Below are 19,679 nucleotides of genomic sequence, written 5' to 3' on the forward strand. Positions count from 1 at the left end.
CCTTTCTCAAAAAATCCTTGTTCTAAATTAATTTATAGGTTGGTTACTTTTCTTTGATTTTCCTAAAATCTCATTCAAAATATTTATTTAACAGAGTTTATTGAAGGTTTAGAATGTGAAAAGAAATGCCAGCAATATCAAATTGAATATCAGGTAGCTTTATCCTAAGAACTCCTTTGTATAGCCCATTTGGAATATATTATTAACAATATTTTTCTGCAGGCTTTAGTTTCTTGCCATGTTGTCTATCCCTGTCTCTCACAGTATTTTTTTTCACATCCTCTCATTTCTCTACTTTTTCTAACTCTCCACATTTCTATTTGATTATTAAATGCAGAAAAATAGAGAACACCTGGATCAAGTAAAACAGCACCATTGACATTTTAGGAAACACACACAGACAGACACACACACGCATGCACACACACACTACATCTTTTCCCATCACAACCACTACTCCACTGCTAGAAATAAATAATATTCTAAGATTGCTAGTAACTACATTCGTGTTTTTCTTTATAGTTTTATTACCTAGGTATACATCCGTAAACCATGTAAATTAGTTTCTTTTTGAACTTTTTATTAATGGAATATTGGATATGTTCTTTTTGTCTCAGTTTTCTTCCCCAGCTCATGTTGATAAGATTTGTCCATGCTGGAACATGTAATTTTAATGTATTCATGTTCGCAGCTGTATAGTTTTCATATTACAATTATTCATCTATTTTACTGTTGATGGCTATTTGCATTGTTTCCAGTTAGGGGAAATTATAAACAATGCTTCAATGTATATGACTGTATATATACCTTAATATAATAACTATTATTTATACACACATTTTTCTGTGTCCCTACACTAGGCATTTATAGTCCAATCAGTGATTTAGGAGAATTTCTGATATTCCACATCTTCAAAAACATTTGGCATCAGCAAACATCTAAGTGTGTTTTTATTGATGTTTTAATTTATATTTATCTGATTACTCATTAGATTTTAGGAAATTTTCGTGTATTTATTGACCATTTGGATTTCTTCTTTTGTGAAGTGTCTGTCTAAATCTTTAGTCTGTTTTTTAAATTGGTTGTCTGCCTTTTTCTCTCAATTTGTAAGTTATTCATATATATACTCAATACTAATCCTTTATCAATTATATGTATTGCAAAAATCTCCTACTTTTCTCTTATTAGTGTGTCTTCCATTTAATGTTTTCCAGCCTGCCTATGAGTTTGGCTAGCCCTTTGCTTCACAGTTTCCTGATGAACTGCTCCCTCACTCTTTATCATCTAAGTGACTCCTCAAGATATTCTCTGAAGCAAAATTAATTTCCCACTTAAAATAGTCTCATGGCATACATTAAAATAACAAAAAAACCTTACCCATTATACAAGATTAAAAGAAAAAAAAATTTTTTAACTTAATTCATATGATAGCTACTGTCCATGGTATACAAAAAAAAGGTTATATAAAACCATAAGAAAAAGTCAGAGACAACTTAAAAATGGGCAAAAAACATGAACAGGCAAATAATAAAAGAAGAAATACCAAAGGTCAATAAACATACAATATCTGTTTAATAGCATTAAGCGAATATAATATAAATATAATTTGATATAAACGTTCATCTATGACAAAGCTTGACCAAACTCTATACTTATGATAGTGTGAAAAAGAAGGGCTACCATGAACAGTTAATGGAAGTAATGCATTTGAACTTGCTGGAACACTATTTGACAATATGTATAAAAAATCAATGTAATCTTTGAATCTGAAATCCATCTTTTTACAGTTTACCTTAGGGAGATACCTGCCTAGCTGTGAAAAGAAATAAGTAGAAGGCTTTCACTGCAGCATTATTAATAGTAATGAAGTGAAGTGAAATGCCCCGCAGCCCCCAAGGCTGGTGACTGTCTCCACAGGACTGCACTTGCATTTTCTAACTAGTGAGTTTCAAAATAATGCCACATAGGCTGGATATTTTGCTGGCCCAACATATGTAATTGATTTTTTTAAATGTGAATTTATCGCCTTTATTTAAAAATCAGTGGATTCCACTTTAAAATCGGGATTTAGGACTTATCTAGAAAAATCAGATTCAGTGGCTCTGAGCCATTTATATTTTCTCATAATAACAATCAGCTAGAATTAAATATAAACTCCCCTACAGTTTGCCATTTTCTTATGTCAGGCCTAGCTAATACACCACTTTAGTTTATAGTGCATAGGATAATAATTCATTACATTCTGCCAAGGAGGCCTGCAAAGGATTTGCATTTTCCCACCTTTTAAAATAACTTTATTTTCCTAATTATAAAAGTAAAGCAAGCTCACTGTGGAAAAGTTGAAAACATGAAAATGCATAAAAAAACAAATAATAGTAACATCATCCCCTCCTAAAAACAACACTTGTGGAATTGGCATATATATTCTTTCAATTCCTTTGTCCATGCATATATGCCTTGTATAAAGTAGAAATCATGCTTATATTCTGATATTTTCTAGCATTATATAAACAAGGCATTGCATAATTTTCATTTTTAATGACTACATAACATTCCATTATATGGATGTAACATAATTTACACAGCCCTTCTTCTAATGTTGAACATTGGATTAGGTTGTCTCTGTTTTATGTGATGGGGGGATTCTTTTTGTTTTATTGCAGTAAATAGTAAATAATACTGGAATGAAGATCTCATACTATAGTTTAGAATTTCTATATTACTTGGATAAGAGATTTCTAGAAATGAAATTTCAGAATGAAAGTATATGAGCATTTTTAAGTTCCTTTATATAGAGAGGATTGCCAAATTGTTTTCCAAACTTAGTTGGATCAATGTATATTCTCACAATAGGAAAAGAGTCCCCTTCCTAAATGTATATGTTTTCCCATAGACATAAATAGTTTAGGGCCATTTTCACCATTGTAGTTTCTAAAGCCCATTTAATTCTGCTAATTGGGATGATGTATTTTCTCTCTCTCTCTTTTTTTTTTTTTTTTTTTTTTGAGACTGGGTCTCACTCTGTTACCCAGGCTAGAATGCAGTGGCACAATCACAGCTCACTGCAGCCTTGACCTCCCAGGCTAAGGTGATACTCCCAGCTCACCCTCCCGAGTAGCTGACACTACAGGCATGCACCACCATGCCCAGCTAATTTTTGTATTTTTTAGAGAGACAGGGTTTTACCGTGTTGGCCAAGCTGGTCTTGAACTCCTGGCCTCAAGTGATCTGCCCACCTTGGCCTCCCAAAGTTCTGGGATTACAGGCATGAGCCGAGCCAGGCCATAATTGGGGTGATTTTTCATATCGACAATAACATTACCTTTGTCAGTGAGGACATAAACAAACCAAAAGCCAGACCATCAAACAAACACAAGCAGGATTGGTTCAAAGAGACCAATATCATTTCTCAGGTTAGACCAACAGTCACTCATGAATGTAAAGGTGAAAAATGAAAAGGTACCTGAAACACTAACCCTGACATCACTGTCCCTGCAAATCCTTATTGCACAAAGACGAGAGGGCTATCTCCCAAGAAAAAGATGCTGAAGATTTCCCTTCCCCTTGGCTGCATCAAACAGAGTAAAAGGTGGTTACAAAACACCCCACTTGTAAAGGCGGTCATTTCCAGATGTTGTAGCCCCAGGTACCAAGGCTCCACACCAGATGTGATCCCCAGGGATTGAGGGGGTGAGAGAGCTTGGAGCACACAGCTGCAGATGATGAGGTCATCAGCACAATTTGGGGAAAGGATGAGTTCACTCGGGAAAGGGGGAAAAAAGCATGTCACTTTTCTTTTTTCTTGTTTGAAGTCACTAAGCTTCAGGGTTCAGGAGTGAATTGTTGCTCTGACTTTATTCTTTGGAGGCGGGTGGCTGCCTGCCAGAGGCAGCTGCACACAGGTCATTTGCATTGCATGCAGTCTCTGGTTTTAGAGGGAAGCTCTTCCTTTCCTTAGATCATCTGCTTCTTTAGAGTCAGAGCCACTGCCTCACACAGACTGTATTCGCCCTTTAATCTTTTCCCTACCCCTCCCTTTCCCTGACTTACTCCGTGCAGTTTAACAAGCTTCCCAGACAGGTCCAGCAGGCTCATCCCAATAGCTTTGAAAGCCAGCTGGCGGACAAAGGAGGAATTATTTCATATACTCATGGCTGGGTGGGTGTTGGGGAGAGGCAATTTGTGGAACACATGGGGTCCCCTCGCATCTCTCTCTCTCTCTCTCACTCTCTCTCTCTCTCCACCCCCACCCCCTTCTCTCTCCCCAAGCCATCCACCCCGAGGTGCCAATACCTAGATACTTAGTAGCCTGGGTTTCGGCTGGGTCTGACCTTCTGAAGCACAGTTAAGATTGCTAAACTTCCAACTGGCTCTGGCAAACCTGGTTGTGCCATGAGAAATCAGTTTCTCAGAAAGAGGAGCAAATTCTCTTTTGTGTATGGGCACATTCTTGGAGTTTCACCAAGGTGATGCCGAGGCTAAAAGGGGTGTGGATCAGGCTGTCCAATGTGGGGAAACTTGCTTTTAGTTAAATGAGGCACCTCTTTTTTTTGGATGGTGCAGGAAAAATAGAAAAGAAACAGAAGGTAGACTAGGTAGGGGACAAGGATGTATGGACCTTTTTCTACAGAGAAAAAGTTGTTTCTAACCAGCCTATTGCTTATTAACTAACAAGAATGTTTCAGGTGTCATTTTATTTTATTTTTTTTCTCTCTCCAGTTAGGGATGATTTCAGCCATTACTTTAGAAATGATACCAAATGGAGAGCAAGTGGTCCATTTCAACTTCATCTGTGAAACTCAGGCGGGATAGAGTCCAGTCTGAGTCTAGGAACCAATAAAAAGAACAATTAGAGAGGTGTATTAGTCACTGTTGAGCACCTATGTGCTGAGACAGGCACTGTATATTACTAAACCCAAAGATGTTCTTCCCATCCTCAGAGAGCCTAGCAATCAATAAAGCAGAGAGCGGCTTAATAATATCAGATGGACTTTGCTTCTTAACCATTGGCATCTGGGGGGTGTCCTAATTCTTATTACTAATGTTGCTATGAGGCATCTTGAGAGTGTTTTAAATTTTTAATCCTTTTAGAGTGGGAGAATCTCTATTAACTAGAATTCAAATAGCAGGATTTTCAATATTTTTCAATTCACTTTGAGAATAAAGAAAAAAGGAGAAAAAAGTAACAATAGGTTTTTTAAAATAATGTTTCAAGAGCTATCACAATCTCCCAAGCATTCTGATATTCTGATATCTGGGTTTCTTTCTTTTTTCTTTCTTTTTTTTTTTTTTCTGACAGAATCTTGCTCTGTTGCCCAAGCTGGAGTGCAATGGCGTGATCTCAGCTCACTGCAACCTCTGCCTCCCAGGTTCAAGTGATTCACGTGCCTCAGCCTCCTGAGGAGCTGGGATTACAGGCACCCACCATTATGCCTGGCTAATTTTTTTTTTTTTTTTTTGTATTTTTATAGAGACAGGGTTTCACGATGTTGGCCAGGCTGGTCTTGAACTCCTGACCTCAGGTGATCCGCCCATCTCGGCCTCCCAAAGTGCTGGGACTACAGGCGTGAGACACCGCGACCAGCTGATATCTGGTTTTCATAATGAATATAGTCAGATCCTTCAAATAAGAAACAAAAATACTTTTCCTTACCAACCATTTATACTAGATACCGGTTAACACTGACACATACCTTATTGTGTTTAATCTTCATAATAACCTTAAAAATATAGATATTATCTCCATTCCACAGAGTAGCCTCTGGCTCCACACATTTCAAATCTGGTTTCTCCTCCACTGCCCACATATTTCCAGTGCCAAACACTGCGGGACACTTTCATGTGGAGATATTGGGAGTCAACTTCTGGCTCTGCCTCTTTCTGTGTACCTTGCCAGGTGGGTCAGTACACTGAGCTGTAGGCATGGACCAAGAAACCATTCCTATACTGATGGCCAGCAGTAAAGCCAGTAAAGCAGCATATGGATGAGACTTTGATTCTCACAAATTTATCCCGCTAAACCCACACTAAATGTATCTCTAACTCAACTGCCTTGGATCACTCCAACTCCGTGTAACGGAAAGGGAAATCGAACAGAGGGAAAGTAGAAATAGAGAAAGCAGTCAACTCATTGGGCTTAAAACACCCTACTTTTATAAATTTTGCAACAAAAATACAAACATGGGGACACATTGCTAGCATCCTTCTTGGGGGTCTCAAAAGAGGCCTAGAAGCTTCAGCTTTATTAGCTTCATGGTAAATTGGCCTCTGCCCAGGGACGCTGCCATTGTCCAAAGCATTTGGCATTGACTTCAGAGCTTACTTCATGCATGTCTGAATAGCCTCATTGGTAGCTGTAAGGGTTGATTGGATTTTTGGAAGCAACCAAAGCTTTTGGACCGTAGTGTTATGGTTCAGGTAATTGGTCAAGCTGTGGAGTCCTATTTGGAGGTCACAAGTGTGGTAGTTTTGTTCTGTAGCTCATTATATTTGAGAACAGTTCTCTAAAACAGGGGTTTTACCCTGCAAATCACAAAATACAGCCCAGGATTATTCCAAGGTCCTTTAACAAAGAAGTGGCAGAGTCCAGTTTGCATCTCCCAGTACCCAAAGTCCAGACTGTAACTCAGCCAGTTGTCTGTCTCCTTCAAGTACACAGAGTGGGACACAGAGCTGGAATGTCTCTTGGCTGCATGCTCCAGACACTGGGGATTTGCTTATCCTCACAGCTAATAGCTATCATGAGCTCTGTCTTTGGGAAAGGGTTTTGTTTTGCCCCAAACTTCATCCCATGGCTTTAATCCCACTGCATTTGTCATCTTCAGCCTCACTGAATACAGAGAAAGGGAGGCTTCAACCAGCTTGCCAGGGAGGTAAATAGGTTTAAACTTCACCACAGATGGCCTCATCTCACGGTGCCAGATTTTTATCAACAACTGGTGTGGCTACTGACATGGCAAAAAACCACAGCTAGACCTGGCTCCTGTCCACTTCTGTGATAACAGAGACCAAGAGGGGATAGAAGAGACAGTAACAGCTCGACAATTTGAGATAGAGAAGGGAAAAGAAAGAAAGTGAGAGATTGAGGAAGAAAAGAGAGCTGTCATGTTACAACCTGGAAGAGGTGACTTAATAGAATAGGTATAGAAATGAAAGCATATTGAATTTGTCTGATTTACTTATTTAATGCCTGCCTCATTCCACAAAGAGTCCTTTTATTTTTATTTTTAATTAGCCCTTTTATTTTTAATTAGGGTTTTATCAAGATGGAAACAGTTTTTTAAAAATTCTCTGCTTTGAGTTTAGAGAGAGGAGAAAAGTAACATTTTTAAATTGTTCATTATTTCGAAATTTCATTCCGTCTCCCTGTGCAGTCAGCTGCCACTTTCCCACCATTTTCAACTTCTTTTCCTCAAAAACGTGGCAATTAGGGTGAGTATGTATTTGTCATTGCTGTACAGCCACACATCAGCAGTTGACTGGAAGAGTAAGAAAAATAGAGAGGGAATTGTAGAAAAAAAGAAAGAAAAAAGGAAAAACATTACTTGGCCTGTAATCTTTGGGAAGTCGCCAGAATCTTTTTCTAGCCAGCCAATCCCATTTCATGGTGTGTGTGTGTGTGTGTGTGTGTGTGTGTGTGTGTGTGTGTGTTCACACTCTAAACCTGGGTAAGCATGGAACACTCAGATGCCCGCAAATTGCTGAGATATATGAAGCAGAAGAAGTGCTACTAGCAGCAGTCATGGTCCAAGTGATTATCAAAGCCCTCCTCTCCTGATCAGGTTTTGTGCAAAACACGCCAGAGAAAGAAAGGAAGGACTGAGGACTGCTTGTTTGGCATTTCTTTGTAGTCTGGGCCTTTTCTTCCCCTGAGGTGATTGTTGTTGTTAACCGAAGTTGTGTGAAACTCCTTCTGTGCAAAAACTGGAGCTTCCTCTTTGAAGCCAGAGTGTCTTTGTTCTTCACCTAACTTGGTGCCATTTTCGACAGGCGCATTTGTGTTGAAGTCTGGTTAATGCCTGCCACCCAGAATTCAGTGAGGCTGTTTGCCAGGTGGGAAAAAGCAGTTATGGCGGGGCCTGAGGGGATAGTTGTGGGTTTCAGGGAGTGGAGAGATGGGCAGGAGTTGCCTACAAATAGAAAGACAAAAGAAGACACTGTAAAAGTTGGCTTTGATTGGTGGCTTAGAGCTCACAGTTCTCCTTTGGGATTTAAATGCTCCAGAAAAGAATGTTCTGGGACTTGGAAGAAGAGGGGAGAAAGGCAAGTCGGATATATTGCTGGATTACAGAAAAAGAAAAGGAGAGAAGGGTAGAAGTTTACAAAATGTAATTATAATAAAACCTCTTAAACCCTGGCTTTGAAACCAGGAATGGGCTTAGTAGGTATTAACATAGAAAGCAGTAATTTCCAGGGTTTCCCCAAAACACTTAATTTTACTTTTTGAAGTTTATATTCAAAATTTTAATTTAGCAAACACTCAAATGTGTTAAATACTAAATTTTTAATGCATTGGAGTAAAGTAGATTTCCATCCCACCAGAGTTAGATTTCAAGGTTGGCAAATATTGCTTATTAGCAAAATTGGCTTGAATATCCTTAAATCCCCCATTAATTAACACACATCCCTGAATAATAATTCTTATCCACACTAAAGTTGGAGAACCACTGACTAAAAGGAAAAAAAAAAAAAGACTGGGTTAGCATGTCATGATTTTCTTTAACAGCTTAGTTACCAAATCTAAGCTGTGAACAGGGCAAGAGTGGAAATCTCCAGCATTTCTGCTTGGCAATGGTTTTACTCCCCTCCCTTTCAGCATGAAGCTCCTATTACCTTAATATACATCATGATCTTTTTGTGGTGGTGGCAATTAAACTAGATAATGCAGTTCTTCTTATGGCAGGGAGTTGCCCTGAAAGTTAGCATGTGAATTTGCTCTTAATTCAGCTCCACGGTATACCAAAACATTAACTTGTTGGCTCAGCCCTACCATTAATTAGCAGGTGAACTCAGGCAAGCCGCTTAAGCTCTCAGGACTTGCATGCATCAGAGGACTAGATGACTTCTAAATTCTCTCCCTTACTAACAGTCCATGCTACTAATTCAAAACCTCTTCTTGGCCAGTTGCAGCGGCTCACACCTATAATCCTAGCACTTCAAGAGGCCAAGGCCAAAGGGTCGCTTGGGGCCAAGAGTTCAAGACCAGCCTGGGAAACATAGTGAGAGCCTGTCTCTTAAAAGAAAAAAAAAAAGAAGAAGAAAGAAGAAAGAAGAAGCAGCAGCAGCAGAAGAAGAAATTAGCTGGGTGTGGTGACATAAACTGGAAGAAAAAATACATCCCAACCCAAACTCTGTGGCAGCGGTACCTTTATTGTTCATCCTTGCTGGGTTCGCCTATGGTATATGCATATCAGCAGACCCATAATGTTGCATCCCTTCAAACAAATATTCTTTGAGTATTTATTCAACACGTATTTAGTGTAGATGGGTGAAACTCTTTTCCTAGTAACAAAAACTGTTTTCAGAAACAGAGTCACATTACTCTCCTTAACTGAATTATACTCAATATATTAATACAAAAGAAAATTCAACAAAATATATTAAAAACACATTCAGAGTTTAAAGATAAAGGACTAAATATGTTAAATTCAGATGTAATGAACTCCTAAAAGCCAAAAATTATTGCTTATATATTTTGAACTATAAATGGGTAAAGTCATTGAATTGCATTAACTAGAGAAACACATATATAGTAACTGAGAAATAATAAAACCTTGTACAGTTGAATTGCTGAATGCCTGCTGGAAGAAAAGTCAGCAAAAGAATCCACAGCATTGCCACCTTCAAAGTAACTTACTGAATTAAAAATTTAGCTGGAAAAAGAGACTGCGTTGCCACGTCTTCTGCATAATTTTACTTTTGCCTTATAAACAGAAGAATCTACAAGCATGGCTATTTTGCTTGCATTTGTCCAGTATCAGAACCAACTAATCATCAAAGAAGATTATTTTTTATGTGAATGCTTGACAACACACACAAGTGGTGCTAAAATATTCAAAGTGTTGAATATTTCCTTAATCTATTGACTTATCCTGGACCAACTTTGCTGATGTCGTACTGGTGTTGCAAAAGCAATGGGAGGTAAAGCTGCTGGCACCTTGGCATAAATCATGGCAGTAGCACCAAACCATGCCAGTAGTTACTGTATTCTGCATCACGACATACTTACAATGAAACAAATAAAAGCAAAAACTTATTTCACTTAAGAATACACTTAATAATGCAATAAAAAGTATAACTTTTTTTTTTTTTTTTTTTGAGACAGAGTCTCGTTCTGTCACCCAGGCTGGAATGCAGTGGCATAATCTTGGCTCACTGCAAGCTCCGTCTCCCAGGTTCACTCCATTCTCCTGCCTCAGCCTCCCGAGTAGCCTGGACTACAGGCGCGCACCACCACACTCGGCTAATTTTTTTTCTATTTTTAGTACAGACGGGGTTTCACCATGTTAGCCAGAATGGTCTCGACCTCTTAACCTCATGATCCACCTCCCTCGTCCTCCCAAAGTGCTGGGATTGCAGGCGTGAGCCACTGCACCCAGCCAAAAGTATAATTTTTTTTAAACACGACCCTTCAGTTGAATTGCTGAATGCCTGCAGGATGAAAAGTCAGTAAAAGAATTCACAGCATTGCCACGTTCAAAATAACTTGTTGAATTCTTAATAAACACACTTTTTAAAAAACTGTATGAGAAAATGGGGAGTACACGCAAAGCATTTCTCCCTATTGAAGCATGATGGGTTTTTTTTCCTGGATGTCTTGAAGAAAAGTATCTGCATGATTGAATTGCAAGCTGAACTACTCAATCTTTTCATGGAATGCCATCTTTTATGTGAAAGAATGACTTACATAAAAACTAAGGTTAGGCCGGGCGCAATGGTTTACACCTGTAATCTCAGCACTTTGGGAGGCCGAGGCAGGCGGATTACAAGGTCAGGAGATCGAGACCATCCTGGTTAATACAGTGAAACACCGTCTCTACTAAAAATACAAAAAAAAATTAACCAGTCGTGGTGGCAGGCTCCTGTAGTCCTAGCTACTCAGGAGGCTGAGGCAGGAGATTGGTGTGAACCCAGGAGGCAGAGCTTGCAGTGAGCCAAGATCACACCACTGCACTCCAGGCTGGGTAACAGAGTGAGACTCCATCTAAAAAAAAAAAAAAAAAAAAAAAAACAAACAAAAAAACGTTTACCTCAGGTTATTCAGATTTAGGTATTTAGCAGATATTTTCTGGAAGATGACCGAAGTGAGACTGACATGTTAAAGAAAACAACTGACACTATTTGCTATCAGTTATGAAAGTTAAACTTTCAAGCACAAGCTAGAATTTTGGAAAACTCATCACCATGACCATGACAGCTTCTCAGTGCTTAAAGCCTCTTCTGATGAAGTCGACAATGATATTAATGAATTATCTGATTTTTATTGTTATTATATTTATACTGTATTTATATCATGACTTCATGTTTTATAATGAAATGCATCTGTGGTTCACTCGGTGAACCAATGTTTTCCAAATGACTAATACCTAATGTTACAAAATCATGTCTGGTTAATAAATCCATTCAGAGTATAAGATAGACCAATAAATTTTTATGTGACAGAGTATAAAAAGTTTATTGATTGGTTTTAGATTCCCCATTACAACTAACTTTTAAGAAACTACCACTTGTCAAGTTTTGGCATCATGTCAAAGAATATACACAATTATCTGAAAAGTCTATATTAAAATAATCTCCCCATTTTAACTACATAACTGTGTCAGGCTGGATTTTCTACATGTAGTTAAATCAAAAGAGCATATTACAGGAGAGTGAATGCAGAAGCAGATATGAGAATTCAACACCTATTAAGCCAGACGTAGAGACTTGCAAAAATGTAAAACAATGGCACTATTCTCATGAATTTTTTTGTGAAAGAAAAATAACGGTAAGATGCAGTAATTTTCCCAAAAAAAGTTACATTAATACATAATTGGTTTATTATTATTATATTATTATTATTTTGAGATGGTGTCTCGCTCTGTCGCCCAGGCTGGAGTGCAGTGGCACAATCTCGGCTCACTGCAACCTCTGCCTCCCAGGTTCAAGTGATTTTCCTGCCTCAGACTCCTGAGTAGCTGGGATTACAGGCTTGCACCCAGCTAATTTTTGTATTTTTAGTAGAGACGGGGTTTCACCATGTTGGTCATGCTGGTCTCGAACTCCTGCCTCATGATCTGCTCGCCTCAGCCTCCCAAAGTGCTGGGATTACAGGCGTGAGCCACTTCGCCTGGCCGCTTTATTACTTTTAATTAATAAATCTTTTTTAAATTTCTGTTTTAAGTTCTAACATAACAAAAACTGATGATATATAACCCTCATAAAAAAAAAACTAAGTTGGGGGGGGCGGTTACGGATCTTCATAATATTCCAATGAATAAAGAAGTCCTAAGGCCAAAGTATTTGAGAACTGTTGACTTATGCCATTATGCCATTATACTTACTCCATATTTACCCCCCTCACATGATTAAACTCCTTGAGGGTAAACACTGAATTTTCATTGAACCTGTAACCATCTTCAGTACCTAGTATTTAGTAAATACTGAGTAACATTCACTGAAGGAATAAATAGGAATGAATGAATGAATCTTTCAACTTTAGTACCTGAAATTTTCTTTCATTCTATAATGCAGACTTTAGTATCTGAAATTTTCTTGCATTCTGAAACAGCCAAGAAAAATTCCAGCAATTACAATGACCAGGTTGTAGAGAAAAACATAAAGGAAAGATCACAATTCTTTCACATGCCTTTTAAGCTTATCTATGGCTTACCCCTGTAGCCTCACGACCACTACTCCTTGCCTCATGCCTCATGATTCAGCAGCATCAGACTGCTACTAAATCACACTCTTGATCTTTGTCCTTAGTACTCAGAGTTCATTCACTCACACACTCTATACAGGTCTAATTCTGAACCTTTAAGATTAAAATTAGGCTAAGAAATGAGGCAACTCTATTCACTGTCTCCTGTAATACTCTATCCATATCTTTTTCATTGCACTGCAACAATTTGTCTATAATTATCTTTCTATATCTGTCTTCCTTTCTAGACTGTCTCACACCTTTTTGTATCCTTAGTACTATGCATAGAGTCTGACACTTAATGGGTGCTTTAAATGTTAGACTGAACTGAAATGCTTTATATCCATGATGTTAAATCTGAGGTATAAGTCACCCAGGGCCATTCAACTTCATTCACTTTCATTGAACACTTACATGTGTTAGCCACTACAATGGGCACTGGGGATAACAAATATTTATGTCAGTGAGCTTATGGTCCAGTGGGGGAGAGGGGGATCTATAAATGGCAGAAAATAATAAACAAGCTACATGCACAAGTTTCTACAGAGTTTGTGTTTATTTTTTACTTTAATAATTAAAGAGGAGAAGCACATTCCTTCAATATTTAGAACACCTATGTCTAGCAAGACACTTATTCAAGACACAAACAGAACCTCTGCCTTCAATGGACTTAAAGACTTGTAAAGGAGACAGGCATTAAACAAATATCACACAAGTAAGTATGTAAGTGTAAATGGTCAGCAAGATTGGGAAGGAAAAATAGTGATACATCATTATCAGGGAAGGAAAAGGGATCAGAAATGGTACCCCTTAGGAAATGTGTGCAGGTGGGTAGGCACATGTGGGTGTTAACCACAGGGAAAATGCTGAGACGAGCATTCCAAGCAGGTTAACGTGGCTGGGGTAGAAGTCTTCACAGGAAAGCAGGCATTTGCCAGCTTTACCAGGCTTGAAAACTGGAGAGAGCAAGGGCTAGAGGAATGGGAGAGGGGCTCGCATAGCACGGCGAAGGCTGAAGCAGCCCAGAGCTAAGCTTAAGTGCTTCATTTTCCTCTTCTGATATGCAGAACCATGATTCCGGGTGGTCTGTATTCATTGCACATAAGCCTCTAAAGATAAATGGAGACTGTTTCCTCAAGTAACTACTGCTAAGAGAAAAGTTTTCTTCAGATGTATTTCTCCATCAGTGCTTTTCCCATAGGGCACCTAAAACCTTGATTTATCATAAATGTTTCACCCAGCATACACATACAGTAATACAAATGTGGCATATTTAAATGCACCCCTCAGAGAAATTTGCTGGCAGTGCTCATGACCCATAAATAAAGGAAAAAATAGCCCAGCTATGGTTGTTTCCAGAACGAGTAGATAGACCCCCATCTAGGCTACTGCCCAGAAGCTGAAACATAACTCAAGAGAGTCATGACCGTGTTACGGGAAAACCCGTTCTGGAGCTGGGACCTACTCCTCCTTAATGGCTGCCTCCAGAAACAGGAGGAATATTAACAAAGCTCTGTAGATTTCTTCAGCTGGTTTGTTGGACATGGGGAGCAAGGAAGTGGATCTGGCCAGTCAGCAACGTGGATCTAGTTGAGTAACTAAGGTGCAGTGCCTCAGTTCAAACTACGGCTCAACTGCTTACTAGCTCTGTGATCCCAGTTAACTTATTTACCTTGTCACTCATATGCCCTCTCTGTAAAATGGAGACATAAGTAGTATCTGTTTCATAGACTGCTGTGAGCATTAAATGTGATGATGTAACTCAAGGCTTAGCAAAGCATTCATTAAATGTTACCTATTACTATTATGATTGCTCACACCAGTCAATCAGCCAAGAGCATTTCCAGGTCTCAAATCAGTCAGGCTTCAAGACCAGCTTAACTGACTGTTTTATTCCCATATGTAACTACTTGATTAGCATGTTAAGGACACAGTTTCTGTAATGAATCACCCTGTTTTTAGTCTTCTTGCAGATAACATTCATTTTATGAAATTCTAGCCAAACAGCCATGCAAGAAAACTACTTGGTTTTTTATTTCCCTTCCTTATTGCTCATAACCTCTGTGTCCTGTAAAAATATTCTAAGAAACCCCTCTCTATTAAAATCTGAAACACAGTGCTAAACAAGCTCTCTTCCCCGAATTTGCCAACTGCTTCCTTTACTACTCTGAACAGACACTGCAGTTTTGAGAATAGCAGTTCTCTCATCCTGTCACTCACCAACACCCCCAGACTGGGGGCTCTTGAATCCCCATTCAGACCTGAGAGCTTTCACAAGTCCTCATTTAACATCCAGCAACGCCTTGAAACCAAACGCCAGCCACACTCACCCTAAGACTGGGTAAAGCATGAAGTAATCACAGACTTTGATATTTTTCCGACCACAAACCCCCTCAAAGTCAAATGTGTCCATGAAAGAAAAGTGGCTCTTTCTTACCTAATCCACAGTGGAACAGGAATCAATAGAAACCACATCAAGATTGTGCTTGGTAAAAAATAAGAAAGACTTTCAAAAGTATACATTTGGTTTAAGTACGCCTGAAATATGAAATAACTAGAATAACACCATCCTTCTTGACCTTGATCATAAGGCCTTTCATAGGTATCTCTCAATACCTCAAGTGAAAGAAAGTAGTTAGAACCTTGAAACACTTTTTAAAACCTGCAGACAGCTTAATTGAAGGGGTCTTGTGAAGAGTTCATTGTCAGGGGTTTCTAGCAAGTGTTATTTCTTCCTGAATTCCACGAACCAAGTTCTCTGAAGTTTACATTCACACAGGATGAACAAGCCCACTGTGGTGGGCTTTAAAAGGGATAAAAGACCTGCTGTGGTTTTCTTTGGGGGACAGGTTTAACACCCGCACCTACACACCCAGACCCAGCACCTGGCAGGATGGCAGAGAAGCAGGTGGCCTCCCAGAGTTACAGCTTAAACTAACATCACATACATTTAAAGCAAGTGCTGGTAACTAGAAAAGTAATTTCTGACAGTAAGCAAATGGCTCTTAAATAATAAAATAAAATGTGTCAGGTGGTAGAAAGCAGTGACAAAAGACAAACATTTGGCTAAATAGCATTTAAAGGGAGAAGAAAAGATGGACAAAATCATCATGCAGAAGGCAGAAGGTTTTGTTTTTGTTTTTTTTTGAGACAGATCTCGCTCTGTCGCCCAGGCTGGAGTGTAGTGGCGCGATCTCGGCTCACTGCAAGCTCCGCCTCCCGGGTTCACGCCATTCTCCTGCCTCAGCCTCCCGAGTAGCTGGGACTACAGGCGCCCGCCACAACGCCCGGCTTTTTTTTTTTTTTTTTTTTTTTTTTTTTTTTTTTTTTCTGTATTTTTAGTAGAGACGGGGTTTCACCGTATTAGCCAGGATGGTCTGGATCTCCTGACCTCATGATCCACTGGCCTCAGCCTCCCATAGTGCTGGGATTACAGGTGTGAGCCACCGCGCCCGGCCACAGAAGGTTCTTGTGCACGTGAACGGTGCCAAGGGATGGGGCTTGTAAGCAAGGAGAGGGGAGAGGAAGAGAAATTTGACATGTGATTATCATCACAATCCCACTGCTGTTGCTGCCCGCTTCAGGTCTACCTTAGTCTGAACAGTCAATATAAACCTTTTGGATCTAGACTGTGTTCCGGAATAGGCAGAACTTTAGGTTTTAGAAGGACAAGACTGCCTTTGGCATTAGAAAGAAGAGGAAAAAAGATCTTTTTATTATTGCCATTAAACATATATCAGATAAACAGCTGCTGGAGCTAATGGCAAAAAAAAAAGAGACAAAGTTTGAATAAGCATTTGCTATCCTGATTGGTGTTAGCACTAGTCTTTCCTATCTTCTGGAAAATATCTGTTTGTTTTTGTAATTATAAAAATAATACATGCTGGCCGGGCGCGGTGGCTCACACCTGTAATCCTAGCACTTTGAGAGGCCAAGGCAGGTGAATCACCTGAGGTCAGGAGTTCAAGACCAGCCTGATCAACATGAAGAAAAGCCATCTCTACTAAAAATACAAAATTAGCTGGGTATGGTGGCACATGCCTGTAATCCCAGCTACTAGGGCGGCTGAGGCAGGAGAATTGCTTGAACCCAGGAGGCAGAGGTTGCCGTGAGCTGAGATCACACCATTGCACTCCAGCCTGGGCAAGAAGAGCGAGACTCCATCTCAAAAAAGAATAATAACAATAATAATACATGTTAATTGCAAAACTTAGAGACTTGGAGTATTGAAATCAGCTAGACATGTATGTAAATCTATAGTAATTGTACTAAATATGGTTGCAAAAACAAAAACTGTCAAACATTATTCTTAAAAGATTAGAAATAAGGTGTAAAATAATAATTTTAGCAACAATAACAAGAATCTAGAACTAAACCCCCAATTTATATTTTCAAAAATTGTTAACGAGGAAAGGGAACATAAAAAATTATAAGGCTATTAAACTATATGTCTTAAATAAGGAGTCTCAAAATATTTGTGTTTGTGTTTGTTTTTTACTTTAATAATTAAAGAGGTATTGGTCAAAGAACAATTTTTTACTTAAAAAGAAATAAAATTAAGATAGAAAATGAACTTTCTAGAGCACTATAGAAGATAAAAGCCAATAAATTATAGTTTATATGTGTGGGGGAGGGACTGGAAATAACAAGGAAACCTAAAGAAAATAATTAATATATCAGAAATAAAATCAAATATCAATAAATGGGTTGAACTTCCCTATTACAAAAGAATTCAAAATAAATTTTAAACATTCAGTGATTGTCTATGACAAGTGATAAAAAGACACAAAAATATTAAATGCATCTTCCCAAAATAGATATCAAAATATTAATATCAGTAAAAAGGAAAATTCAAGACAATAGGCACAAGACAAAAAGTATAATTTCACAATAAGTGGTTCAATTTATAACAAAGATGTGAGTTAAGAAATTTTATATACCAAAAACTACCTGCTTCCAAATATACAAAGGAAAAAAAAATTTAAAATCCGAGATGAAAGTGACAGAAATAAAATAGGATTGGGGCCAGGCATGATGGCTTGTGCCTGTAATCCCAGCACTTTGGGAAGCCAAAGCGGACAGATCACTTGAGGTCAGGAGTTTGAGACCAGCCTGGCCAACATGGTAAAACCCCATCTCTACTAAAAATACAAAAATTAGCAGGGCGTGGTGGCACTCACCTGTAATCCCAGCTACTCGGGAGGCATATGTCCATCTATACTATGTATATATATTATAGAATTGGTAAATAAACCAGAACCCTCTCTGTTTTAGAAAGATCAATAACGCCAGGGATAAATAAGGAAATAAGAGAGCTGAAAGATAACAATAAGTATGAGTGATTTACTAACTATCTATAGATGTATCTCTGAAACATTGTAGCCTATGTATAATATTTTTGGTTCCCATGAAACAATAACAAAACAAGTATGTATATAAAATATGTGTAAATATACATATTTATAAAAATATATATGTATACTGAAATACAAATGTTTTCAAAAAACAGAAATTTTATCAATCTCATTGACCACACCGTTTAAAAAATTAATATCCTCAGCAATTCAATGCAGGAACAGAAAACCAAATACAACATGTTCTCACTTATAAGTGGGAGTTGAAAATGTGAACACATAGACACAGGGACGGGAACAACACATGCTGAGGCCTGACGGAGGGTGTGTGTGGGTGGGGAGGGAGAGCATCAGGAAAAATAGCTAATGCATACTGGGCTTAATATGTAGGTGATGGGTTGATAAGTGCAGCAAATCACCATGGCACACATTTACCTATGTAGCAAACCCTTACATCCTGTACTTGTATCCCAGAACTGAAAATAAAGTCAAAAGAAAATAAATTCCACCCATTTGGAAGTTTTAAAACACTCCTTTAAGCAACTTTTCATTTAAAGAAAAAGTAAAAACTGGATTTATACATTATTTAGAAAGCAAATAACTATCACAACCTATAGGATGAAGTCAAATTACATCAGACAAAAATTTATATTCTTAAATGTTTTCATTATTAAGCAAGAAAAACAAAATATAATAAACATTAAGTTTAAGAAGCCAGAAAAGAAACAAAAATTTTTAAGAAAAACTGATACAAGGGATTAATGAGGATAACATAAAAGATTTACAAGCCTAAAAGGTAAAATCAATAAAAATGTATATTCACACATAAAATAATACTTTTGAAAGTTATTACAATTTACCAACCTTCTCTGCTTAATCTGAAAAAGAAAATAAATATTTGGAAGAGAAGATATAGATAACCACAGCCATGGAGCTTTTTAAATTGAATAATACTCTGTACAATTTTGTGTTAATATAATAATAAAGTGAACAATATTCTCAAAAAAATAGATATTACCACAATTTGCTCAGGAACTTAAAAACTTATGTAAACTAATAACTAGAAAATAATTGGGAAAAGTTGCCAAAAATGGTAATAATATTTGTAGTGCCTACTATGTGTTCTGCTTTATACTAGGTGCTTTATCTATTATCCCTGACATACAACATTGTAAGATAGGTATTATGATCTATATCATTGTATCTCCATTTCACCCTGTGTTTCCCTTATTACATGCCCATGTAAGCGGCATCATGCAGTATTTGTTTTTCTGTGACTGACTTATTTCGCTTGTCATAATGTCTTCAATGTCCATCCATATTGTCGTGAGTGGCAGAATTTTCTTTTTTAAGAGTTAAAAATATTTCCTTGTAGGTATATACCACAATTTATTAATTTATCTGTCAATGAACATTTAAGGTGT

General features: G+C 38.0%; 1 protein-coding gene across 1 annotated transcript in view, besides 1 other annotated feature; it reads right to left on the bottom strand.

Moving 5' to 3' along the window:
* Window positions 1-19,679, bottom strand: part of SLC24A2 (solute carrier family 24 member 2) — an 800,438-nt gene that overhangs the window by 686,990 nt on the left and 93,769 nt on the right. The window lies entirely within an intron of this gene.
* Window positions 3,707-4,001: a silencer, noted in NCBI's record as "tiled region #8935; K562 Repressive non-DNase unmatched - State 24:Quies". NCBI's record gives its function as "represses a minimal TATA promoter and a strong SV40 promoter by Sharpr-MPRA in K562 cells {active_cell/tissue: K562}" and the evidence as "EXISTENCE:reporter gene assay evidence [ECO:0000049][PMID:27701403]".

The sequence above is a fragment of the Homo sapiens genome, chromosome 9 (assembly GCF_000001405.40).
Source record: "Homo sapiens chromosome 9, GRCh38.p14 Primary Assembly".
Classification (NCBI taxonomy): Eukaryota; Metazoa; Chordata; class Mammalia; order Primates; family Hominidae; genus Homo; species Homo sapiens.